At 38.8% G+C, this 27,905-nt stretch overlaps 1 protein-coding gene and 1 non-coding gene across 8 annotated transcripts in view; both read left to right on the top strand.

Annotated features, from left to right (window-relative positions):
- SLC25A13 (solute carrier family 25 member 13) overlaps positions 1-27,905 on the top strand; it is a 201,879-nt gene that overhangs the window by 85,860 nt on the left and 88,114 nt on the right. For 6 of the 7 annotated variants that reach the window (NM_014251.3, NM_001160210.2, XM_047419712.1 and 3 more), the window contains 2 exons: positions 1,322-1,437; positions 27,262-27,401. In NM_014251.3, coding sequence (NP_055066.1) covers positions 1,322-1,437; positions 27,262-27,401 — 256 coding nt within the window. The remainder of the gene's footprint in view (positions 1-1,321; positions 1,438-27,261; positions 27,402-27,905) is intronic. The other variant, NR_027662.2, reaches the window with a different exon arrangement.
- MIR591 (microRNA 591) lies at positions 16,483-16,577 on the top strand. The gene has a single exon (NR_030322.1). It is a non-coding gene; the product is annotated as a microRNA 591 (primary transcript).

Genomic DNA, 27,905 nt, shown 5'->3' with positions numbered 1-27,905 from the left:
GTGTTCCCAGGCATTGAGAAGCATGTGTTTTGGATGGTTAATGATACAGAGATGCTATATTGAACACACTGCGTTTTTCCTTTCTTTGTAGCATTATTGTAATTGGGTGACATTCTGGGAAACAGCTAAGTTCACTTTGTAACAGTTTTTATAAAAATGTGTTCTCTCTATAGGATGTTTAGAAGTAACTAAGTTTTCTGTAAAATATATGAAAACCATTCCTATTTTCTTCCTCCTTCCATATCCTCCGGAAACTTGGAGTATCTCAATGTATCATTAAAGTATTTGGATACTTAAAATAGCAGTTGTTAAAAAATAAAATCTAGGAAAGCTTTTATGGACCCATTTCCTCTTTGGAAGTCAAAACGTCCTTGGCCTCTCATGTTCTTCCTAAAGCTTAGATTTGACCCACATTTTGACCTTCGGAAAGTTAAAGTCACTCCTTTTTCCTAGAGAAGAATGACCAGGCCCTTTTCTTTCTTCAAGGCCACCTCTGGTCCTATATTTCTAATCTTATTTTACATTGTTCTTTTATGCACTCCACTGTCCAGACAAAATCTGTCACTCATCAGTTTCCCTGTACACTCCTTAGCTTTCTTGCATTAGCCTTCTGCCTGAAGTGCCCTCTAGTCTACACCCATTACCGCATATCCAAGTTGTACTCATTTTTTAAGGCCTAGCTCAAATGCCATTTCTGCCACAAAGACTTTTATTACCATACTAGTTCTTGTGTTATGATTTGTCCTTCCTCTATACACTAGTCTGTTTCTAGACCAGTGCTGTCTGCCTCACTAGACTAGAAGTCCCTTGGGGTCATGTTTCATGTATCATTTATCTGTATTCCCCTTGTACTAGCCCTAGGTCAATTCACAGGTGGTCAGTAAATACCAGTAGTGAATCAATATCTGTGAACCGTTTTTTGCATGGTGTATAAGGATACTAATGCATAACAAAGTTGCTCTATTTTGCTGTTAGGCAGTCACATCTTAGTCTAAAGTATCTGCACTTTTATTATAGAACCCAAAAACATGCCTGAAGGAAGACTGAAACATATATGATGCTGGATAAAACAGTTATATTTGAAATTATAATGTATTTAGTGTGTAACTTCATGGTCAATGCTGTCATGTCTTTTAGATTCTGTGCATTATTATTTCAGTCCACTATATGTAAAAGTAAATGCTAAATGTTTATAAATGTTTTCAGTTTGAATTTTATGTTTTGGCAGTGATATCTTATTTTTTCCCTCAGTGTATGTTTGTATATGCTTCTGTTTTCCACAAGCTACTGACTTTTGCTTTATGTTTGTTTTATGTTGCAGATTAATATCTTTTCAAGAATTTGTTGCCTTTGAATCTGTCCTGTGTGCCCCTGATGCTTTGTTTATGGTAGCCTTTCAGCTGTTTGACAAAGCTGGCAAAGGAGAAGTAACTTTTGGTAAGAAGCATGCTTCTGTGCACGTCTGTGTAAGTGTGGACTTGTGTGAGCATTTTCTTTTTTTTTTTTCTAGGAACAAAATAAAGTGTATGGAAATTCTTTATAGAAGATAGTATATCCCTTTTAGTAAAGATACTTCAATGTTTTGGAGCTCCAGTTCAAACATCTTCCTATTCGAAAAAAACAAGTTTCTGGCTTAGTAGTTTTGATACTCTGATTTAGTTTTAAGGTGAGGGAGATGTGGCATGACTGTTTTCATAGAGTCATAGCATGTGAGAGCCAGACAGGACTTCTGTTTCTTCCCTGCATCATCAGTAGTGCTTTCCACTGATAGAACGAAGAAGTGAATAATCTGCCTACACACAGAAGTTACTTATGCACCCTATACTTCTTGTCTTCACGTTGTTCCCATGGAGTAGTTTGCGGCCAGAGCTGCTGCACAAGATGGTGGTTCAGAATGGTACATGAAGGACCTTGTTCTAAACAACCCCCGCTCCCCCGACCTGACTGCTGTGCTGGCAGTGTCTGCTCTCCTGTGGCCTTCTTTATTTTGCAAGGCACAAACATCATCATGGGAATTAGCTACAAAGCTGCAGAAAACCCTGATGTTTTTCAAATTCTTAGAAGAAAGGGAAGGCTTGGAAGTGGTGGGACAGTGGTAAGTTATTTTTTAAAAAACTGGCTACTAAGGACAGATTTAACGGAAAGTACCATGTTTCCCTTGGACTCTGTGGTGTCCAGCATATGTTGTCTCTGCATGCAAATCTGCAGTAGCATTGCTCATGAAGAATTTTGGAGCCCTTTAGGCATGTGGATTGTGCTTTCATGAGAGATGGCTTTAAAGATTAGGGAGAATGTGGCATGACTGTTTTCATAGCGTCATAGAACGTGAGACCCAGACAGGACTTCTGCCTGTCTTGTGCTTGGCATGTGCCCATTTTAAGTGTCTCTATTCATAGTTTCTAATTCATTCAGACCTTTGGGACTTGTCTTATTTGATGTATTGTGGAAAACATACAGATATGGGAAAAATACAGATGGTGTAACAGTGTTGCTTCCAGAATCAGATAAGCTTAGCCCCTTCCAGCTCTGCTGCTGTTGTCTCTGAGCCAAATTAGTGATCCTCTCCAGTCCTCATTTATCTTATCAAGAAGTGAATATAATAATTAGATAAAGTATTGGTAAGATAGTATAATAGATTTATTGTGCCAACCCCCTTCGCCATTCCGTCATACTCATTTGGCATGACAGAATTAAAGGTTAAATCATCTTGAGCAAAGACAAAAAATTATATACTTGCCCGGTTTCTAGAAGATCAGATGCTTTCCATTAATACTTCATGAGGATTATTTAATATTTACAGATCCTCAGAAGAAATTTATTTCCATCACCCAGTTCCTCTTAGCACCACTGCAACCACAACTTTTCAATGGAATACCAATTTTTAGAAAGTCCCCATTTAAATCTTCAAGTAATGAGTAAGCAGCTAGCTCATGGTGTTATTGATTTACTCAATGGAAGCGAGTTTGGTGACATTGTTATAATAGCGTTTCCTGGGGATGAACAGAGGAAAGCCTGTGAGTGTAAGCATGTTCAGCATAGGTGTGTTCTGTCTTGTCCTCCTACTTTCCCCAGCAAGTCTGGATGTGAGGAATGGAAGAGAGTTCGATTTGATATTAGAGGACTGAGAAATGGGCTTCAGGTAGTTCCTTGATATAGATCCATCTTCCCTTCATGCGTGTGAAGTGGCAAGGGATATTGGTGACACCAGCTTTACCACTGGTCCTAGAAAGACGTAGGAGACTTCCACCATTGCAGGGCAAAGTGTGTGTGTTAGTGTGATTAGAAGAAAATGATAGTGAAGAAGCAGGATGTAGGAAACAAGAGCTGTCTTTGAATTGTAGAAGGCATAGTTGCATAAGGATTTTGTTTCTGCTTCTTACTAGCTGAAGGACAAGTCATTTCAACCCTCTGAGCTTTATTTTCCTCATCTCTAAAATCGGGGTAATAACTACTTTACAGGACTATGTAAGGATTAAAAGATTCACTGCATAAAAGGCACTGTCTGAAAAACAAAGGCCTTTATACAAATAGTGATACTAAAAGAAATAGCCTAAAAGAGGAAAAGATTTTCTGTTTTTTTTTTTTTTTTTCATTTTTCTTTGGGAAGCCCTTTTTTTTAAAATTTTTTTAAATTTTTTTTTTTTAACGTAAGTTCAGGGGTACATGTGCAGGTTTACTATATAGGTAAATTTGTGTCACAGGGGTTTGTTGTACAAATTATTTCATTACTCAGATATTAAACCTAGTACCCATTAGTTATTTTTCCTGATTCTCTCCCTCCTCCCACCTTCTACCCTCCACCCTCTGGTAGGCCGTAATGTCTATTATTCCTCTCTGTGTCCTTGTGTTCTTATCACTTAGCTCCCACATATACATGAGAATGTTTGGTTTTTGGTTTTCTGTTCCCACATTAGTTTGCTAAGGATAATGGCCTCCAGCTCCATCCAAGTTCCTGTAGAGGACATGATCTCGTTGTTTTTTTTAATGACTGCATAGTATTCCATGGTGTATATGTACCACATTTTCTTTATCCAGTCTATCATTAATGGGCATTTAGGTTGATGCCATGTCTTTGCTATTGTGAATAGTGCTACGGTGAACATATGTGTGCATGTGTTTTTATGACAGAATGTTTATATTTCTTTGGGTATATACCCAGTAATGGGATTGTGGGTTGAAGGATAATTCTGTTTTTAGGTCTTTGAGGAATCACCACACTGTTTTCCACAGTGGTTGAACTAATTTACACTCCTACCAGCATTTACACTCCTACCAGCAGTGTATAAATGTTCCTTTTTCTCTGCAACCTTGCTAGCACCAGCTATTTTTTGACTTTTTAATAGTAACCATTCTGATTAGTGTGAGATGGTATCTAGTTGTAGTTTTGATTTGCATTTCTCTAATTACCAGTGATGTTGAGCCTTTTTCCATATGCTTCTTGGCCGCGTATATGTGTTCTTTTGAAAATATCTGTTCATGTTGTTTGCCTACTTTTTTCTTTTCTTTTTTTTTTTTGAGACAGAGTCTCACTCTGTCACCCAGGTTGGAATGCAGTGGCACAATCTCGGCTCAGTGCAACCTCCACCTCCTGGGTTCAAGCAGTTCTCCTGCCTGAGTTTCTCGAGTGCCTGGGACTACAGGCGCGCACCACCACGTCTGGCTAATTTTGTATTTTTAGTAGAGACGTGGTTTTACCATATTGGTCAGGATGGTCTCAAACTCCTGACCTCAGGTGATTCACCCGCCTCAGCCTCCCAAACTGCTGGGATTACAGGCATGAGACACCACGCCTGGCCTTTCCCCCACTTTTTAATGGGGTTGTTTTTTCCTGGTAAATTTAAGTTCCTTATAGTTAGTTGCTGGATATTAGACCTTTGTCAGATGCATAGTTTGCAAAAATTTTCTCCCATTCTGTAGGGTGTCTGTTTACTCTCTTGATAGTTGCTTTTGCTGTGCAGAATGCCCTTTAGTTAATTAGGTCCCATTTGTCAATTTTTGTTTTTATTGCAATTGCTTTTGGTGTCTTTGTCATGAAATCTTTGCCCATTCCACTCTCCAGAGTGGTATTGCCTAGGTTGTCTTCCAAGAATATAGCTTTGAGTTTTACACTTAAGTGTTGTTTGTTTTTCAGATGAACTCTTGCTCTATTGCCCAGGCTGGAGTGCAGTGGTATGATCTCGGCTCACTGCAACCTCTGCTTACCAGGCTCAAGTAATTATTGTGCCTCAGCCTCCCAAGTAGCTGGGAGTATAGGCATGCACCACCATGCCTGGCTGATTTTTTGTATTTTTCAGTAGAGACAGGGTTTCACCATGTTGGCGAAGCTGGTCTCGAACTCTTGACCTCAAGTGATCCACCCACCTTGGCCTCCCAAAGTGTTGGGATTACAGGTGTGAACCGTCATGTCTGGCCACATTTAAGTCTTTAATCCATTTCAAGTTTATTTTTGTATATGGCGTAAGGAAGGGGTCCAGTTTCAGTCTTCTGCATATGGCTAGCCAATTAACCCAGCATCGTTTATTGAATACAGAATCCTTTCCCCATTGCTTGTTTTTGTCAGTTTTCTTGAAGATCAGATAGTTGTAGGTGTACAGCCTTACTTCTGTTTATAAGTATCTTGAGATATCAACAGGTATATGACAGGGTGTTGGTATGACTGGTAAATTCTAGTTAATTTGTGATTCTGTATGTGAGGAGAAAAAATTAAATGTTTCCATTTGTATTTTTAGCCTATTGTATGTGACAGTGATTTTTTAAAGTACACTTTGTTGAATGACAGCATACATGCAGAAGAATATACAAATGGTGTTAAGTGTACATCTTTCTGAACTTTTACATCTGGATCTGCTTACCACGAGCCAGATCAGAAAGAGGATGGTACCAGCAGTTTAGAGGTCTCATCCCAGTCACTGTTCCCCAATCCCAATGGTAACAACTGACATTTATCACTATCAATTGGTTTTGCCTGTTTTTAAACTTAATTTAATTGGAACTATATAGAATGTACTCTTTTGGTCTGGCTTCCTTTGTTCATTTTATTTGTGAGATTAATCCATGTCGCATGTATTTTTTGTTTTTCTTCACTGTATTGAATTCCATTATGTGACTCTATCCTAATTTATTTATCCATTCTATTGTTGATAAACATTTTGGAACATTTTCATTTTTGGCTGCTGCAAGCAATATGCTTTTGACATTGCTTTACATATTTTTTGGTGTGTATAGACATTTCTAGGAATAGACTTGCTCGGTCACAGAAAATATGTATATTTAGCTTCAGTAGAGCTTGCTAAAATGTTTTCCAAAGTAATGGTGTGTCTGGAATTGGTGGGTTCTTGGTCTCACTGACTTCAAGGATGAAGCTGCGGACCCTCGTGGTGAGTGTTACAGTTCTTAAAGATGGTGTGTCCAGAGTTTGTTCCTTCTTATGTTTGGATGTGTTCGGAGTTTCTTCCTTCTGGTGGGTTCGTGGTCTCGCTGGCTTCAGGAGTGAAGCTGCAGACTTTCGCTGTGAGTGTTACAGCTCTTTAGGTGGCGCTTCTGGAGTTGTTCATTCCTCCCGTCCAGAGTTGTTCATACCTCCCGGTGGGTTCGTGGTGTCGCTGGCCTCAGGAGTAAAGCTGCAGACCTTCATGGTGAGTGTTATAGCTCATAAAGGCAATGCGGACCCAAAGAGTGAGCAGCAGCAAGATTTATTGTGAAGAGCAAAAGAACAAAAGCTTCCACAGCGTGGAAGGGGACCAGAGCAGGTTGCCACTGCTGGTTCGGGCAGCCTGCTTTTATTCCCTTATCTGCCCCACCCACATCCTGCTGATTGGTCCATTTTACAGAGAGCTGATTGGTCTGTTTTACAGAGAGCTGATTGGTCCATTTTGACAGAGTGCTGATTGGTGCATTTACAATCCCTGAGCTAGACACAGAGTGCTGATTGGTGCATTTACAATCCTCTAGCTAGACATAAAAGTTCTCCAAGTGCCCATCAGATTAGCTAGATACAGAGTGCTGATTGGAGCATATACAATCCTCCTGCTAGACATAAAAGTTCTCCGAGTCCCCACCCGACTCAGGAGCCCAGCTGGCTTCACCTAGTAGATCCCGCACTGGGGCTGCGGGCGGAGCTGCCCATCAGTCCCACGCCATGCGCCTGCACTCCTCAGCCCTTGGGTGGTCGGTGGGACCTGGGCGCTGCGGAGCAGGGGGCGGCACCCGTTGGGGAGGCTCAGGCTGCATGGGAGCCCACGGGGTTGGGGGGACTTGGGCATGGCGGGCTCCAGCTCCTGACAGCCCTGCCCCGCCGGGAGTCAGCTGAGGCCCGGTGAGAATTCGAGTGCAGCGTGGGTGGGCCAGGAGTGCTGGGGGACCCAGCACACCCTCCACAGCTGCTGGCATAGGTGCTAAGCCCCTCAGTGCCCAGGGCTGGCGGTGCTGGCCATCCACTCCGAGTGCAGGGCCCGCGGAGCCCACGCCCACCCAGAACTCACGCTGGCCCACGAGCACTGTGGGCAGCCACGGTTCCTGCCCACACGGTCTATCTCCACACCTCCCTGCAAGCAGAGGGAGCTGGCTCTGGCCTCGGCCCAGAGAGGGGCTCCCACAGTGCAGTGGCAGGCTGAAGGGCTCCTCAAGTGTGGCCAGAGTGGGCGCCGAGGCCGAGGAGGCGCCTAGAGCGAGCGAGGACTGCCAGCACATTGTCACCTCTCAGTGGTACCAGTTAACACTCATGCCATCATTGCATGATGGTTTTATTTTAGATCTTTGCCAGTTGGTATCAGCCATTTTTATTTTAGTGATATCTCACTGTGTGGCTTCAATGAGCATTTATTTCCCTGATTCCTAATGGGTTATATGACATTTTTCCATATTTATTGGCCATTTGGCTATCTTCTTCAGTCATGTGCGTATTTTCTGGATACAAGACCTCTGAGGGTTATATGTTTCACAGATTCTTTACTCTGTGACTTGCACTGTAACTCATTTGAGTCTTGAGGAACATAAGTTTCTAATTTTAATGTAGTACAAATTATCAGCATTTTCTTTTGTGGATAGCTCTTTTTGTGTCCTGTTTAAAAAATCTAGGCCAGGCACAGTGATTCCCACCTGTAATCCCAGCACTTTGGGAGGCCAAGGCGGGTGGATCACCTGAGGTCAGGAGTTTGAAACCAGCCTGTCCAACACAGTGAAACCCTGTCTTTAGTAAAAATACAAAAATGAGCTGGGTGTGGTGGCAGCACCTGTAATCCCAGCTACTCAGGAGGCTGAGGCAGGAGAATCGCTTGAACCCAGGAGGCAAAGGTTACAGTGAGCCGACATCATGCCATTGCACTCCAGCCTGGGTGACAAGAGCGAAACTCTGGCTCAAAACAGAAAAAAAAAATTCTTTGTTTTCCTCCGGGTCAGGAAGATATTCTCCTATGTTATCTTCCAGAAGTTTGCTTTCCTTTCAGATTTACATTTTAATCTTTCTAGAATTTGTTATATTTTTGCATGGTACTAAAGGTAAAGGTCAAGATTCTTCCCTGGCCCTCTTCCCCAAGGATATGTCGATTGCCTGGCACCATTTATTAAAAAGATGGTTCTTTTCTTTATTGCACTGCAGTGGTACTACTATCATAAATCCAGTATGGGACTGTATCTGAATGCTCCATTCTTTTTACATTATTGTATATTCTCCGCTAATACTATACTATCTTAATTACTACAGCTTTATAAGTCATATCTGGTTAGGTTTTCAACTTTATTCTTTAAGATTATCTCGGCTATTCTTGGCCCTATTCACTATCAAAACAATTTTAGAGTAAGTCATTAATTTCCACAAACATCCTGCTGGGATTTCACATGCTATTGCCTTGAATATGTATAATATCTATATGTATATGTATAAATAAATGTTTTATTCCTTTAAGAATTTTTAAAGTTTTTAAATAAAAGTTTATTTAATAACAAGTGTTAGTCTGTCTATATCTCACTACTCTGGAAATTTTGAGTTGATGAACACTACAAATTTTGAAAGAGAAAGGAACACATCTATGTTATTTGTTATCTAAAGATGCTGGTGCATGTGTACAATTTTGCAGATAGGACTACTGCCAAGGATGAATCAGTGCTAAGTACCTCAGAAGGAAGGTAGTAGAAACGTGAGCTGAATTTTATATTTGAGATAACAAATAAGTATTACCTTCTTAAAAGTTCATAAATATTTCAATAGATATATTTTACTACATATTGAATATAATACATTTAAAGAAACTTCAGAATTATGTGAGTTGGAATGTTACCAATACTGTCAAATTTTGGTTACCATAGTGGATGGGAGGGGTATTCAAAGGGAGTAAATCATGGTGGAAGACAAGCAGGGTAAGAAGAGGAAAGAAAAAATGATATTAATTGCCTAGTCATTTGTAACCAAAGCAGAGAAATAATAAATAAGGGAATAAGCTGTCATTATATTAATTATAAATCTGTGCTATTATGTGAGGAGACATTTACACAAATTTGTTTTTGAAATTTAAGGTCTTTTCTCTTTAAACTTAGTGTTTCGAATGTCAACATAGTTTTCTTTTTCTTTCTTTTCTTTTTTATGGTGTTATTTTTTATACTAGATCACGGGTGGCAAACATTTTCTATAAGGGTAAGATAGTAAATGTGTTGGTGCAGTCCCTGTGGAAAATAGTTATGGAGATTCTGACAAAAATTTACAAATAGAAGTACCATATGATCCACCAATCTCACTTCTGGATATTTATCCAAAAATCAGGATCTCAAAGAGGTATCAGAACTCTCATGTTCATCGCAGCACTGTTCGCAACAGCCAAATGTGGAAATGACCTAAATGCCCATCCACAGCTGAATGGGTAAAGAAAATTTATATACATAGAATATTATTCAGCCATAAAGTCCTGCCATACATGACAACATGAATGAACCTTGAGGACACTACGAGTGAAATAAGCCAGCCACAGAAGACAAATATTACATGATTCTACTTATATGAGACACCTGAAATAGGCAGATTCATAGAATCAAAGAGTGGTGGCTACCAGGGGCTGTGAGGAGGGGGAATGGGGATTTACTAATCAGCCGGCATAAAGTTTTGGTTAAGCAAGATGAGTAAGTTCTAGAAATCTCCTGCACAACATTGTGCTGATAGTTAACGATATTATTTTGTACACTTAAAAATCTATTAAGGGTAGATCTCATGTTAAGTGTTTTTTTCCACCAAAAAAAAAAGATTTTATTTTCATTTTTTGAAAGAGGTGAGGTAATTGGTCGTGTAGATATGGGGATGGAGGAGGGGAGACTGTCGCAGGCAGAAAATAATAGCCATTTCCCGGGTTCTAAGCGCGGAGTCTGTTTGATACATTTGAGGAACGTTTTAGGGAGAGAGACTATAAACAAATACAAAAAATATGATGTCAGAATATCCTGTTTGTATGTAAAGCAGGCTAAGTGGGTAGAAAGCATGGAAGCTATCTGAGCAGATCTAGAGGAGTGACCAAAGATGCATTAATACTGAACTGGCATGATATGGGCTTTGTATTCCATGAAGGGTTGGAGCTGTGGGGGTCTGGAAGTGATGGCCACTTTGGAAGTGCCACAAACAGTGGAGGCTGGGAATAACAGAGGCCTGGACTGGAGTCATATCTCGGGACCCCACCTGGGCCATTCCTTTTTTTTTTCTTTCTTGGTTTCTTTCTTTTTTTTTTTTCTTTTGAAACAAGGTCTGTCACCCAGGCTGGAGTGATCTGGGTTCACTGCAGCCTCAACATGCCTGACTCAAGTGATCCTTCCACCTTAGCGTCCTGAGTAGCTGGGACTACAGGTGGCGCTACCATGTCCAGCTAACTTTATTTTTATTTTCGTAAAGGTGAGTTTAACTATGTTGCCCAGACTAATCTCAAACTCCTAGGCTCAAGCAATCCTCCCGCCTTGGCTTCCCAAGATGCTAGGATTACAGGCATGAGCCACTGCACACTGGGCTGTTCCTGAGAGCTAATCTGTATGACTTGGCTCCCGATTGGCCATGGGTGAGAGGAAGGGGGCCAAAGGAAAGGAAGAAGAACCAGGTGGTAGCTACTGGTCTTGTTCTGTTCCCAAGATATGTGGTTTTACATAATCTCATGAGAGAAGTAAGGTAACCATCATTTTTATTTTAAAATACATGCCAACCTCTGGGCTAAGTATTTTTGGTATAATTTATTATTTAATTATTGTAGCCTAGAAGGTCTATACTATTATAATTCTCATTTTCTGTAGAGGAAATAGACATGGGGAAGTTGAGTAAGTGGCCACAGTCATAGTGTTGCCTGTGATGGAGCTGGGAGAGCAGCCTGATCCTGGCTGACTGTTCTTCACTGTGCCACACTGCCTCCCTCTGGTGTTGATACTCATGCTTTTGGAGCAAGCCCACTGTAATCCAGATAGGTGTCAGTTAGCCCATTGTGGTCTCAGTCTGTATCAGACATTAGAAGGATTTAATATTTTTCATGAAGTAAAGAACAATAGGCAAATGCATTAGTTACGATTTTTTTTCACTATGGTGGAAAGTAATAAGGAAGAGAACGTACCTGGCTTAGAGTTACCAGTGTACATAGAAAGTTGCCTTGGTTCCAGCTATCTGGATAACTTGTTGAGATGCACACGATGTGAGTTTTACCCAGAAAAGCTTTATCTTTTGATATGAACAGAATTCTGACTGAAGGGGAGAATCACAGGACGATAGGGAAGGGTGAGGAGATGGTCTGTGTCCAGGTTGAGGATAGAGGGGAACCATAGTAGAGGAGGCCCTTGATTGAGGGGTGCAGCTTAAGAGACCTGAGTACTTGGGAGGGTGGTTGTCAGGGCACCAACGACAGGGCCGGGCCCTTAAGCAAGAGTAATTATTTCATATGAGAAGCAATTAGGAGTCACTACAAGGTCTTTGGAGGACAGGGATAGGATCAGAATGATGCTTGGAAGAGATGATTTTTGCTGAGTTGACTAGAGTGGGGCAAAGCCAGGGGTACCATGCCAGTGATCATTATTTAGGCTTCACAGTATCTATGTGAAGCCAGCGTATAGTCACCCCACTTTGTGAGTGGAAGAGCTGAAAGTCAGGGTTTGGAAGGACTTACCTGGTGTGTGAGCAGGTTGGTACAGACATGTTGTGAGTGATAGTTTCTCAGACACTTTCCTGTTACTGTATTTCTTATTTAATGTTGCGGGGGGTGCAAAACATTTCCATTGTGGGTTTTAAGAAAGAGTACCTGTGTGGATGTGTGGGTGTGTTTAATGAAACTGTCGATCTGAACTATTTGGCATATATACCAGTGATGTATCTTATAATGCTAATTTAAGACATTACCTATTCCTACTTACTGATATTTCTTAAGTTGTTGTACCACATTAATAGCCTAGCTCCACAGTAGCAGAGAGATTGAATACTACTTTTTTTTTTTTTTTTTTTTTTTTTTCAGAGATGGAGTCTCGCTCTGTTGCCCCGGCTGGAGTGCAGTGGCACAATCTCGGCTCACTGCAAGCTCTGCTTCCCGGGTTCAAGCAATTCTCCTGCCTCAGCCTCCCGGGTAGCCGGGACTACAGGCGCACATCGCCACGCCCAGCTAATTTTTGTATTTTAGTAGAGATGGGGTTTCACCGTTGTTGCCCAGGCTGGTCTGGAACTCCTGAGCTGAGGCAATCCACCCGCCTCGGCCTCCCAAAGTACTAGGATTACAGGCGTGAGCCACCGTGCCTAGCCGAGAGCTTGAATACCTGCTTTTATCTGAGGAAAGTCACAAGTAGACCCCCTGAAAATTCAAAGTATGATCTATACAATACCAGTTTCTTAGGTTAAACTCCCAAATGTTTTCTTGCATTATGCTATTACATGTTTCTCTCTTCCTTTGACTTTTTAAATTTATTTTTCAGTACACTGAACAAGATTTCATGAAATATGTTTTACGTGCAATTTTAAAGTTATCCTTAATACCTGAATGTAACCCAATTTCATTACAAGTGTTGGTGGTAATGATGGTGTGTGCATGTTTATGTTCTGCAGTTTTTAATTAAACTTTAAAGTCAAGGGTTCTCAACTCTTTGCCTGGATAAGTATCAGGGAGTCTGTGAATGGCTATGGTTGTTTGTAATATTTCGTCTAAATGAGCTTTTTTTTTTTCCTGGGGAAAAATTGTGTAGGTTTTAGCAAATCTCACAGAGGTCAGTGAGCTGCCCTTTAAAGATAAAAGCTGCTTTTTATAGAGGGGCAGTTGAACTAGTAGACATATATCTTATTTAACACTTTTCCAGCATTGCTGTTAAAGACATTGATTGTAGAATAGTTTATGTATGACTTCAAAATGTAATGATAATCAGTTTTTGGATGCCTTTTGGTTTTGGATATATGAAGAAACAAAATGTATCAGACAACCTATATATAATACAAGAGACAGATTGGAAAATACATTTTTCTGTAACTGAAGTAAATGTAGAGTAACTAACGAATTATTAAAAATACAAAAAGAGCCGGGCGCAGTGGCTCACACCTGTAATCCCAGCACTTTGGGAGGCTGAGGCGGGCGGATCACAAGGTCAAGAGATCGAGACCATCCTGGCCAACACGGTGAAACCCCGTCGCTACTAAAAATACAAAAATTAGCTGGGCATGGTGGCATGTGCCTGTAGTCCCAGCTACTCAGGAGGCTGAGGCAGGAGAATAACTTGAACCCAGGAGGTGGAGGTTGCAGTGAGCCGAGATCGTGCCACCACACTCCAGCCTGGTGACAGAGCAATATTCTGTCTCAAAAATAAATAAACAAAATAAAATACAGAAAGAACTGTTTGGTTGGCTGGCTAGTGAGACCTCTGAAAGGGAATTGGTTCTGATTCTCATGAAGACCAAAATGGAAGAAACTAGTCTACACCCTGTGCCACACTGGGAGGCCTGGGCTGGCTCGCCACTGCAGCTCTGCCAGTTAGCATGGAGTCTGAAAGAAACTGGTCCAGTTTTGCCCTTTATTGGAAACTACAGTGACCTTTTGTCCTTTAATCTTCACTATTGAAATATATTGTAAGTTTAGTAACTATAGAGAAGCGTTTCTTGTTTATGTTAATAAGTGGCATGTGGAAAAGGGCTCTCCTAAGAGAGAATCATAAAGCCTGGAACTTTTAATTTATTAAGGCTCTGAGAAGTCCTGCGGAAAAAATAAATCTATTTAACTTTGTTTAAATTGTAGTTTAGCAAACTTATTATATTTGCACCAACTTTTCTCTTGTGTCTCTCCCACTAAACAAAACCCACAGAACCGGGGCGATTTCTAAGCTAGTTAATTCTTAATTCTAAGCGAGTCCTCAGTTAGTTAATTCTCTGATGTGGATGTAATTGTTTGGAGGGACCCTTTCTGAGTTCAACTTAGATTGTGTCCAGGAACACCTGCTATGATGAAATTGGTGTGCTTTGGGAAAATGGGTAGGCTAGATGACATTAGGAAATGTGTGGAAACACCCACTCAGTCACTTCGATTCAGGTTGCAGAAAATGATGGGAGTTAAAAGTATGGAAATGAGAAGTTTCGAAGTTAAGCACTCAAATTTAATATTAAATATATAAAGCTAGAGGAATGCTGGTATTGGATTGGAAGAAGGCAGACTTTACCCATCATTTTTAAGCTTGCTGGAAAGGAAGGTCATTTGTTACTGTCTTTGTAAAGACACTTCGAAAATGAAATATTCGAAAAGATAGCTGAGGGAGAAGGTGGTGAAGAATCAGAAGAAACGTTACTTGGGGAAAGTTCTTCATTAATATTGGTTCTGATTTTGGTGTTTCACAAAAATAATGTGTCATTTTGATGAAAGAAAAATATTGCCCTGCAGTAGATTTGATTTTATTTTATGAGAGGTAAAGAGGGGGCTGAGTATATTCTCTTATACATGCTTACATCCCAAATAGAGAGTAAGAATTTCGAATAAGAACAGTATGAGTTTTGAAAGTAAATAGTCTCTATGTTGATAAGAATTGTGGCATGCCTGGGTACTGAGTATCTTTTCAGAGATCCTAGAGACTGTCCAGAAACTGTTCCAGTTCATTGGGTCAAAAATCCACTATTTACGAAAAGCTAAATACGGATTTGCACGATTGACCATAATGGCTTCAATTTTGAAAGATAGTAGTATCAGAGAGCACTTCCAGTTGGTGGGATAATTTAAGAATCGCCCGTGCTCAAATGGCTAAAATATTGTACTTTTTGCTACTTCATCACTCCATTTTAAAAATAGAGAGGGGGAGAAAAGAAGGCAGACCTGTTGAGAAGGTGGAAGAATGTCAGTTGGAGAGCAAATCAAAATAACCATGTGAAGCCACTCCTTAGTTAACTACTGCCTGAAGGTTAACTGTTCCTTAGAAGCCTGTCAGGGAGTGGAGAGACTGGACTGGGGGCTGCTGTCCCTGTGTGTGCATGTGCACCTGTGTGTTTGTGTGTGCATGTGTGTGTGTGTATGTGCATGTTCATGTGCATGCATGATGAAGGGTGAAGAGAACTTGTGAGTAGGAAAGAAGGTGTAGAGAACAGAAAGCTAACATAAAATCCTGAAACTTAGAGTCCTAGGAAAATTTGACTATTTTAAACTAACTGTACTGCTTATTTAAAGATAGGAAAATTATACCATTCTTCTTCTGGTATAAGAGAGAGATAAAAATACAGTTTTTCTAAATTGGAAAATTTGCTGTAATCTTGCTGCTAATGACTGATTTCTTCCAACAGTTGCAAGGCAGTTTTTGCTCTGATAGGTTGATAAAGGAAACAAAATCAAGAACATATTGGAAATTCTCAGAGAAAATTACAGTTTAGGTATATGTTGGGGGTGGATACTTAGACATTTTAATTGAAATAAAACAGTTTTATACTAATATGGGATCACTGTGGGTGTACATTTGTAGTACATCTGCTCTTGAAGCATTTAAGTAGGGTTAAATGTATGTTAATGCTTTTGCAAGAAAATTTTCGATAATATCCGTCTAAGGAAACTAGCTTAGGAAATAGGTTTTTGAAAACAATATAGATATTATATTTGCATTTAGAGAGTGAATTAGGACTCTGTAATGCTTTAAGAATTTTAAAACATTAGTTGTATTCTCTAGTGGTAATGAAAGTTAACAATAATTAACACACAGCAGATGATTAAAGCAAGCTTACACATCTGGAGAGTGGCCACAGTCTGCTATATGCCTCTAAACACCATTTTAATTGACCTACTTTTGATATTATGAAAGGCTAATAATGATTTATTCTACCCAGTTGAAAATACTTTTTCTAGCAGATAATTGGAAACATCTCAGTTGGCCCCTCTGTTGATTTAGTTAGTGTGTGTGACAGATGGTTAATATCTTACGCTAAATATCTGCCAGCCTTGAGCCATTTTGTTGTTGTTGTTGACTCACAGTCACTATGATGACTTAAATAGTGTATGAATCTTGAGAATTGATAGATCTGTCAGATTATAGAGGAGGAGGGAGTCTTATCAATGAGGTAGACCATGGGTTCTCATTGTAATAGTGTAGAATGTTGGTTAACTGTGGACTCCCTGGCTCTGTCTCAAATCTACTGATTCATAATTTTTGGGTGTGGGGCTTGGGAATGTGTTTTAAACAAGCTCTCCAAGGGAATGTAGTTCCTACTTCAAATGAACAATGGCTGAGTATAGTTTATGGCTTTCTTTCATGGATGAGGAAACAGGCCCAGAGGGGAAAAGGTGACTAGTTTCATAAGAATCACAACTTTGACTTCTGGCACTAGAAGGATAGGGTTCTTTCCTGAATGCCACATGACCTTAACTCAGGCTAGTTCCATCCCTAAGTACAGAACTGGAAGAGTTTTAAATTAGCCCTAATTTTTACATACACCAATACCACATATGACTTTAGTATAATATTTGGCTCAGCTTGGCTGTGTGTGTGCTTATTTTTTGAAAGATACCTATCACCACTGTACCTACATGTTCAGAATAATAATAATAAAAAGTTTACAGGGGATTATAGAGAACTCAATTTTAATGTGAAGTACTTATGCTCTACTTACTATGTTTTAATGGCAACCATTTTCCCCCTAGAAGTTTCTTGAGCGACTCTGAATTGTAGCCAGAATACGTCTTTCCTCTTCAGACCCTTAGCTGTGATTAATGTAAAAAGGCACTTGTCAAAAGGGTTTGAAATGGCAACCTTGATATTGGAGCATATGGCAGTAGAGATAGGTCTGCATCCACTTACTCCATTATGTTATTTAATGTACGAATTCAACAATTTGTCTTTTGCTCCCTGCTTAAAAGATGATGGCCGTAGAAGCTGGTTGTTAACCATATCAGCAGGGTGGAATATTACTTCCCTTAGAGAAAAACCACAACTTTCTTTGAGGATTTAGCATGCATTAGAAAAAGCATGAAACTGTTCAGAGATAAAATGCTGGGCCTTCAGCAGTCCTCTCTTTGCCTCCAAGAGGGGTTACTTTTATGTTTAACACAAACATCCCTTTTGTGTTTATTGTATTAATGGAATTTTTAAAATCCATGAGAAAGAGAGAGAGATTATGGTTTAGTGTTTGAAATAATATAGCTTGATGAATCTTTTTTATTTTAATGAGAAACTCTTTTTCATAGATATGCTGCTTCAAAAAGTGAATCTTTTAGAAATTAAAATGCATTAATTTAGTTATTCTGTATGGAAACAAAAACATGGAAAGTTAAAATTTGCATAAGTGAAGACCTTGATGATTTCAGATTATAGTGTGGTGGAGGTTAAGGAATAAGAGTCCATAGAATTTGTAAAAACAAATTCAGTCTAACCACTTAATGGCATGTGCAAGTAATTTGCCAATTAAATATCTCTAGTGTCTGAAAGATCTTCAGAGAAAAGAGTGGAGGTTCTTAATCTTTCTTAATTTTATACTTTAAGAAACATAATAGAAAATTACTTAGTTTTTGATCACTTTTCATTCAAAATTTTAGCATATGAGCTCAAGAAAGGATGGATTTTAAATATTTGAGGAAAATTATTGCTTTTTGAGAAATTAAAAACTATGATACTTCCAAATCACACTGTGCTCATTTAAAAAATAGTATTTGTAAATATTTGGTGCCCAGATAATAATTTTCATTATAATTAAGACTTTATACTTTGGAGTTTTATGATTTTGATGGTCACCTACTATGTTTAGAACATTGTACTAGTCATGCTTAACTCCAGAAAAACTGTCTAAGATAGATATTCCCATTTTAAAGATTGAGCGAATTGAGTCAGAGTAAGTAATTTGCCCAGGGTTACTCATTAGTAAGAGGCAGATCTCTGACAGTTCTAGGTGTTTTTTGTTTTTTTTTTTCAGAGAAAGCTTTGTTGAGATATAATTTACCCATTTAAAGTATATAATTCAATGGTTTTTAATATATTCACAGATTTGTACAATTATCACCACATTCAATTGTAGAACATTTTCATCACCCCAACAAGAAACCTCGTACCACACCTTAGCAATCACCACTCCCTTCCATCCAGTCCCTCCATCCCCTGGCAGTTGTTAATCTACTTTTTGTGTATATGGATTTGTCTATTCTAGACATTTCATATAAATGGAATCATAAAATGTGGGCTTTCATGATTGGTTTCTTTTACTTAGCATAATGTTTCCAAGGCTCATCCATGATGTAGCACATATGTTATTCCTTTTTATTGATAAATAATATTTCACTGTGTAGATATAGATAGGTCACATTTTGTTTATTAATCAGTTAACAGGCATAAGAGCTGTTCCCAGTGCTTGGCTATTATGAATAACGTTGCTGTGAACATTCATGTATGTGAGTTTGTATGGGCATATGTTTTCATTTCTCTTGAGTATATACCTGAGAGTGGAATTGCTGAGTCATATTATAATTCTATGTTGAACTTTTTGAGGAACTGCCAGACTGTTTTCCAAAGTGGCCACACCATTTTCTTAAATATATTCCCACCAGCAGTGTTTGAGGGTTGCAGTTCCTTCACATCCTCACCAACACTTCTTATTATCTCTTTTTGATTATAACCATTGTAGCAGGGTGAAGTGGTTATCTCATCATGGTTTTGATTTTCATCTCCCTGATGGCTAATGATGTTTAACATCTTTTCATGTGCCTCTTGGCAATTTTATGCTGTCTCTGGAGCAATGTCTGTTCAGATCCTTTGCCCATTTTTAAATAGGATTATTTGTCCTTTTATTGTATTGTGAGAGTTCTGTGTGTATACTAGGGTTCCTTATCAGATATGTGACTTGCAAAGTTTTTCTCCTAGTCTATAGGCTATTTTATCTTTTTCTTTTCTTTTTTTCTCTCTTTTTTTTAAACTTTTTTATTTTAAGTTCAGGGGTACATGTGCAGGTTCATTATATAGGTAAACTTGTGTCATAGGGGTTTGTCGTACAAATTATTTCATCACTCAGATATTAAGCCTAGTACCCATTAGTTATTTTTCCTGATCCTCTCCCTCCTCCCACCCTTTACCCTCTGGTAGGCCCCACTGTCTCTTGTTCTCCTCTGTGTCCGTGTGTTCTCACCATTTAGCTCCCACTTAAAGTCAGAGCGTACAGTATTTGGTTTTCTGTTCCTGCATTAGTTTGCTAATGATAACGGCCTCCAGCTCCGTCGACGTTCCTGCAAGGGACATGATCTCATTCTTTTTTATGGCTGCATAGTACTCCATGGTGTATATATACCACATTTTTTTTATCCACTCTATCGTTGATAGGCATTTAGGTTGATTCCACCTCTTTGCTATTGTGAATAGTGCTGCAGTGAATGTACACATGCATGTGTCTTTATAATAGAATGATGTATATGCCTTTGGATATATACCCAGTAATGAGATTACTGGGTTGAATGGTATTTCTGTTTTTAGGTCTTTGAGGAATTGCCACACTGTATTCCACAGTGGTTAAACTAATTTACACTCCCACCAACAGTACATAAGTGTTCCTTTTTCTCTGCAACCTCACCAGCATCTGTTATTTTTTGACTTTTTAATAACCATTCTGAGTGGTGTGAGATCGTATCTCATTGTGTTTTAACACTTTCTTTTTTTCTTTTTTTTTTTTCTTTTGAGACAGTCTCTCTCTGTCGCCCAGGCTGGAATGGAATGGCATGATCTCGGCTCACTGCAACCTCCGCCTCAGGGGTTCAAGCAATTCTTCCTGCCTCAGCCTCCTGAGTAGCTGGGATTACAGGCACGTGCCACCATGCCTGGATAATTTTTGTATTTTTAGTAGAGATGGGGTTTTGCCATGTTGCCCAGGCTGGTATCAAACTCCTGACCTCAGGTGATCCGCCCATCTCGGCCTCCCAAAGTGCTGGGATTACAGGCGTGAGCCACCGTGCCTGGCCATTTTAATACTTTCTTAATGGTATCCTTGGAGTATAAAGTTTTAAATTTTGATGAAGTATAATTTATTTTTTTTTCTGTTGCTTGTAGTTTTGGTGTCAACTAAACCATTTCCTAATCCAACATCACAAAAATTATGTCTATATTTTTTTCTAAAATTTTCTTGAAAATATGCCTATATTTTCTTCTAAAACTATTCACGGTTTTAAGTCTTGTAGTTAGGTCTTTGATCCATTATGAGTTAATTTTTGTATACAGGGTGAGATAGGAGCCCAACTTCATTATTTTGCATATGGATATTGTCCCTGCACCAGTTTTTTCTTATTGTCTGTTACCTTTGTTGGAAATCAATTGACTATAAATGTGAGGGTTAATTTTTTTACTCTCAATTTCATTCTGTTGTTCTCTGTGTCTATCTTATACCAGTACTACATAGTCTTGATTACTCTAGCTTTGTAGTAAGCTTGAAATCCAAATTCGTGCCAGGCGTGGTGGATCAAGCCTATAATCCCAGCACTTTGGGAGGCCGAGGTGGGTGGATCACGAGGTCAGGAGTTCGAGACCAGCCTGACCAACATGGTGAAACCCTGTCTCCACTAAAAATACAAAAATTAGCTGGGTGTATCAAAGCGCCTGTAATCCCAGGTACTCAGGAGGCTGAGGCAGGAGAATTGCTTGAACCTGGGAGGCAGAGGTTGCAGTGAGCCAAGATCATGCCACTGTACTCCAGCCTGGGCAACAGAGCAAGACTCCATCTGTTCTTCTTTTTCAAGATTGTTTTGGCTCTTCTGAATTGCTTGAATTTTCATAATGGATTGTTGGATCAGTTTGCCAATTTTTGCAAACAAGCCAACCAGGATTTTGATAGGGATTACATTGAATCTATAGATCATTTTAGGGAGTATTGCCATTTTAAAATTAACTTTGGAGAGTTTTGCCATCTTAACAATATCAAGTCTTTTAATCCGTGAACATGGGATGTGTTTCTATTTATTTAGATTTTCTTTAGTTTCTTTCAATGCTGTTTTGTAGTGTTTAGAGAATCAGTTTTGCACTTATTTTGTTAAATTTATTTCTAAGTATTTTATTGTTTTTGAGGCTACTGTAAATTGAGTTTTTTTAAAATTAATTAATTAATTAATTAATTTTTTTGCAACGGAGTCTCGCCCTGTCACCCAGGCTGGAGTGCAGTGGCACTCCACTCACTGCAAGCTCCGCCTTCCGGGTTCACGCCATTCTCCTGCCTCAGCCTCCTGAGTAGCTGGGATTACAGGTGCCCACCACCATGCCTGGCTAATTTTTGTATTTTTAGTAGAGATGGGGTTTCACCCTGTTGGCCAGGCTGGTCTCGAACTCCTGACCTGAAATGATCCGCCTGCCTGGGCCTCCCAAATGCTGGGATTACAGGCGTGGGCCACTGCGCCTGACCGAGTTGTTTTTTAAATTTCATTTTTGGATTGCTTATTTCAAATATATAGCAATACAGTTGATATTTGTATATTGATTTTTCTGTCTTCCAACCTTGCTAGACTTATTTATTAGTTCTAATAATTTTTTAGTGATTTCTTAGGACTTTTCTGTATATAAGATCTGTGACCCAACTTTTAAAGGTCTCAACTCTTTTCACTATAACCATACCCTGTAGCCTGGGAAACTTACTAACTTGGGAGAAATAGGTTGACTTTTTGAGGTTATCTTTAGGAAGTAAACAACTGCCACTTTGTAATTGTCTTCTCATGATATAAACAAATGCGGCAGACTTTTAAGATGGAAACTTTTGTGGAGAAAGCAAGGTTCCACAAGTAAAAGGAACCTTGAGCTTATTTGGTGAGGTCTTACTTTAAATAATATCACTATTATTTGGTGATATTATGGGAACTACAGGCCTTCCAAACATAGCTTGTTTGGCACAGACTGAAATAACAACAATTATACTTTACTTTAAAAAATAAGCATTCTAATTTGGCTTTACTTTTAGGAGGAGTGGCTGAACTAAGAAAAATATGACTTTATATATCCAAAATATATACTAGTGCTACATGCACATTTTAATGCTAATTAGTTTTGTTTCTTTGCCTATATGACCTCAACATGGGGAAAAGAGTATAAGCCTTGTATTTTAGACCAGAAGAGACCTAATTCTAATTATTTTTACATTTGAGATAGATCTAGCAGGTGGTTCTTACCTGAAAGTCTTCCACGACTGAGTTACGAGTTATTCTGAACCAAGTAAGCAACCAAAAAAGCTAAAACATGTTGGGTTTCTTCTTTCCTCTCCAGGACTGCAAGTTAGGTTTGGAATGGTCAGGGAATGGTACGGGTTTGGTGAGAGGGCAACTCTAAGTTTGACTCCTGGAGTCTTTCATAGTAAGGCTCATGGAATTGCCCATGTGGGAGCCAGAGTATAGAGTAGAACTGGGCTTGAAAATCGCTTTGGATTTTCATTTCTGATTTTTCAGCTATAAAATGAGAGCTGGGACTTGTTCCTCTTACCTCTGAGAGCCTTACAAGACATAGAGGAATCTTAAACAATCAAATGTTAAGTGAGAAAGCTATTTGTGCCTCCTAAAAGGAGAAAAGAATATTAACCTGACGTGGTATTATAATGTCTCCCAGAGTGAGGGAGAAATGCAAGGAACCCATAGTGATTATTGAGTTTATAGATGTTTCTATTCATGAGCCTGCAGGAAAACGTAGAGACCAAACATTTCAGAAAATGAATGCCCTAGGATGATTCATTAGAGCAGAATGAAATATTCAGAAACTTATGAGTCTATAAAATATTTTTGGAGAAAATGTGTGAGTTTTCCAGAGGAACAAGATTTAATATTTTGTTTTAAAAGACTTTATTAGTTGTGAGATGAATAGAAATATTGGTAGGTTTCCTTTAATCTTTTGCATATCATTTGGCTTCTCCAATTAGAATGGCTTGGCAATCTTATGATATTTGAGTACATAATCCTGCTAGGTAGGTCAAGAGAGTAAAAAGTAAATTTCGTAGAAATTATGCCAAGTGGTAAACAACTTCAGGCCTTTTTTTCCCTGCAGAGTCCCATGGCCAACTGTTCTTTCCATAGCAAACTTTTCTTCACCATAAACATAGCATCATGCCCCGGGGGCTTTAAAATAATGTTTGCTGCTGGCAGGTGATGCCAATGTCTGTGGCTACCTGGAGCAGGATCTATCATGTCTCAGTGATCCCAGGTGGCTTTGGTCCAAAGCACTGTAACTGGACCTTTGATTCACTTCAAAAGAAATGAACCTTTCTTCATGCCATTGATCGCCATTGAAAAGCTCCCTCAAAGGTCCCTCTTAGTAAATCCTTGACACCTTTCAGGTCCCAGATCATGGTTTATCTGCTCCAGTAAGCTTTTCTCTCTTACTTCTCTCCTTAAATCTCCATTTCCTTACCATGAGGCCACCCTGTGGTTTAGTGCTGATACAGTGTACTGTTTGAATCTGCTGTTGAATTATTTCTCAAGTATTAGACTTGGATGTAGCCTCATACCTTTTACTACCCTTCCTCTTCCCACAGGACCTAGTACAGTGCTCCCAAGCTGTGCTACTTAGAAGGTTGCTAGCTAGCTAGCTAAGCCCTGACATTCCTACAATAGCCAGTATATTGGAACAGCCACAAAGCTAATAATGGGCCTACATCCTCAGGGTCATGTGTTTGATACACTCCCCAACTCCAGGAGGCACCAGTCACATGGACCATGAAGTGAATGCCATCCACTAGAGTTGTGCAGCATGGGAGCCCTGAATGACCTAGGTCACACATGATCTGTGTTTACACATTCCTGCATTACACTGCTTGGTCTGGAGAGTCTTCTCTACCTCCTTCCTTTTAAATTTTTATCCATTTCAATGAGAAGTTAAAAATTAGGAGTGAATCTAACCCTTCCATACTCCCTGATAATGCTTTCAGAATGAGGTCCTGGACCCTTGCATCAGGAAAACCTGGAGTGCTGGCTAAAATGCAGTTTTTTCAGCCCCTCAACATGTTTAAATCAGTTTAGGACCGGGCCTGGGGATTTTGATAAACGATGTTGACTGATGATTTGTATGCAGTGCACTGAAGTGGTGAGAAATGACTGTTGAATAGTTTCTCAGCAAGGGAAACTGTAGTGCCCCAAAGGGTTAATACCGCTGTCCTTAACCTGTTGCATTATCTGTTGTAAACCTTTTCTGGCTCATTTAAATTCAGCAACTACTTAGTGAGCAGTTGCTCTCTGCCTACCACTGTGCCAGCCATAGTGGTAGAATCAGATGCGAAGAATGGGGTCTTTGCTGTGAAGGGGCTAATAATCAATTAGGAAATAAAAGACGTGCAATAAATATGCACAAACACATTAATATGTGCATACATATGCATACTATGTAATGATTTATATTACATCATATAGAGATCTTTTATATACATCTAGTATAGTATACTCTAGAAGATTTATAGAGAGATCTTTTTTCAAACAAATCATTATTGGTAGTACAGGCCTATAGGATTGTCAGATTTTAGATCTGAGAGATATCTTAGGGATAATGTATAGCTCTATCCTGCAGAGGAGATTTCAGTACATCAGCCAGGCATTTCATAGAGGCACACACACAGTCTATGGTGTAGTCCAAAAAACTATAGCGTTTAGAGTTTCGGATTCAAATGTGAGCTCTAGTAAGAAGTAAATGGTAGTTACTTTAATTATAGATAAATAAGATTGTTGTTTATGGTGAGACACATTTTACATGCATTCACTAATTTTAGAAAAACTTAAACCTACTTTCATGTATATTTATAATTTTAGACCATATAAATATAAAAATGGATAATAAGTGCCTTAGCTTTACATACCAGCTATTTAGTAAAAACCTTCTGTTACTTTCTATGGGAAACAGAGATTGAAGGAGAGATCAAGAAGGGGAAAAATCTTATTTTTGACAATTATCCTATGATTATTACGTTAAAACTTTATTTCACTGGAATGCTTGGCAGAAAGGAATTTTTAAGTTAACTGAGGATAAACCAGAAAACCATTTTTTCTTGCATATTATTTCTCTAAAATTTTATTCTAGTATAAAATTTTATTTACAGTGTGAATTTTTTTTCTTTTGGTCACATCTTTATCATTTGAGCATTATTTTCATTAGATAATTTATTCATCTAGATTAGAAGGTTATGGGAGCCTTTATTAAAACTTTATTGGGCCTGCTTCCTACAGAGATACAGACACTTACACCTGGAAAGGAGTCACAGATTATCTCGGTTAATATGTTTTGCACTGAAGAAAGTCATGTTTTAAGATATTAAGGGACTTACAGCCATTAGAACAATACTTGGCACATGGTGAGTGCCCAAGAAATTTTAGCTGCTGTTAGTAGAATTTGAATCCAAGTCATTTGAATTTCAGTTTGGTGATTTCTTCTCAGAAATCTTCTACTTAATTCCTTTTATTGACCCCTGGTCAGACTCACTGAGAATCTTTTTTGTTTGTTTGTTTTTCCTTTAAATCCTAATTCTGGATTCACTTCATTTTCCTTATATCTTATCTCTTTTTTCCCTAAAAGTAAAGAAGACAGAATAAATTCAGTACTTGTACTTTAAAACTTTTATTGTCCTCATCAGGGCCAGTCTGAGGATTTCTGCCATGTTTTATAAAATTTATGCCCAGCATAATCCTGATTTTTTACTGCCTTCTCTGTGCAAATACACACCTAACCTTATGCTAATGGTGGCACTACTGTTTCTTCATGACAAGGCTTTAAAAATTTCTGGAAACTTTAAAAACGTGGAATAAAAACTGTGGGTATAATGGGGGTGGGAGCAGGAAATTTGAGGGGAAACCATAGACACATTATGCCAAAGGTTTTGGCACTTTTCAGAGGACTAAATAACTTTCTTCTTCTTTTTTTGTTTTAAATAGAAGCAAAAGAGAAAAAAAGGTATCAAGCACAGTTTGCTCATAGAAATGAGCAGGTTTGGTAGATATATTTAAAGATGTGAAAGCCAGGAAAAATTATTAATATGCTAATAATTTGTATTTCCTCCATTCTCCAAACACATACTTTTATCAAGAGGAGGAGGCTAAAAATAAAAATAGAAGCTTTAGAAAAGTAAGGTTTTTCATGTTTTTTTCTTGTTTGTTTGTTTTTTCTCTGTCAGTCCTCTTACAGTTTTTCTGTAGAGGCTAAAAAGAGATCCTAAGCCAGGACCAGCACATTCAGTGGCCCATCTTAAATGGGATTATTTGAACAATTTGAGAACTCTTGGGTCAAGCCAAAAGAGTGCAGTAGAAAATCAAAGACTTGGGCTGCTGCTGGCTTTTCTCCTCATTTTCTTTGTCTTCACGTGCAGCTCGATAAAGTGTTGGACTTTTTCAAACACAGAAACAGCCTTAGGGGTGTTAAATATGTGTGTCAAATTTTTTCCTAATGGATTTCTAAATCTTCCAAAAACTTTTAAATAACTTGTTAAAGGCTATATGTAACGCTTGTATCGTGTGTGTGTGTGTGTGTGTGTGTGTGTGTGTATGTGTTTTCCTGCCACTAAGATTGAATTCTGTCCTCTGTACCTAGAAAATAATCATTATTTCTTGAAACAAAAACAAATGAGATGATAATAGTTTTAGCTTTCTACTTGGGTTTCCTACAGCCTTTAGGTTGTGTGTGTGTGAGAGACTTCTTGATTTTCCCCCCCTTTATTTTATTTGGTGGGATTCTTGACCTTGATTTCTTAACTGATTCCTTGAGGGTTCTTTTATTTCTGCCATAGTTTGTAATCTGTATGTCTATTTAAAATTGAATTACTTTTTTTAATAAGAAAAAGCGATATCCATTCAATAACAGATTTTATCAGAAAGAACTTCATTTACTTTGTTTTAATCAACCTGTCTTTTCTCTTTTCAGAGGATGTTAAGCAAGTTTTTGGACAGACCACAATTCATCAACATATTCCATTTAACTGGGATTCAGAATTTGTGCAACTACATTTTGGAAAAGAAAGAAAAAGACACCTGACATATGCGGAATTTACTCAGTTTTTATTGGTGGGTCTAGCTCTTAAAAAGTTAAAAGGGTATGGCCGGGCACGGTGGCTCACACCTATAATCCTAGCACTTTGGGAGGCCGAGGTGGGCGGATGACGAGGTCAGGAGATCGAGACCATCCTGGCCAACATGGTGAAACCCCGTCTCTACTAAAAATACAAAAAATTAGCCAGGCGTGGTGGCCGGCGCCTGTGGTCCCAGCTACTTGGGAGGCTGAGGCAGGAGAATGGTGTGAACTTGGGAGGTGGAGCTTGCAGTGAGCTGAGATCGCACCACTGCAGTCCGGCCTGGGTGAAAGAGCGAGACTCCGTCTCAAAAAAAAAAAAAAAAAAGTTAAAAGGGTAAATAAGTAAACCTGGAATCAAATTGTGTGTAAAAGTCCTGATTGGAGTCTTGAACTGTGATTTACTTACTACATACTGTGATTTACTTACTACATACTTACTACAGTTTAGCCTGGCAAAACTGTCCCATTGAGAAGTATTTCTTTATTAATATGTTGAA

The sequence above is a fragment of the Homo sapiens genome, chromosome 7 (assembly GCF_000001405.40).
Source record: "Homo sapiens chromosome 7, GRCh38.p14 Primary Assembly".
In the NCBI taxonomy this organism is placed as follows: Eukaryota; Metazoa; Chordata; class Mammalia; order Primates; family Hominidae; genus Homo; species Homo sapiens.
Note: the sequence above shows the minus strand (reverse complement) of the source record. Positions and strands in the feature narration are given on the sequence as shown.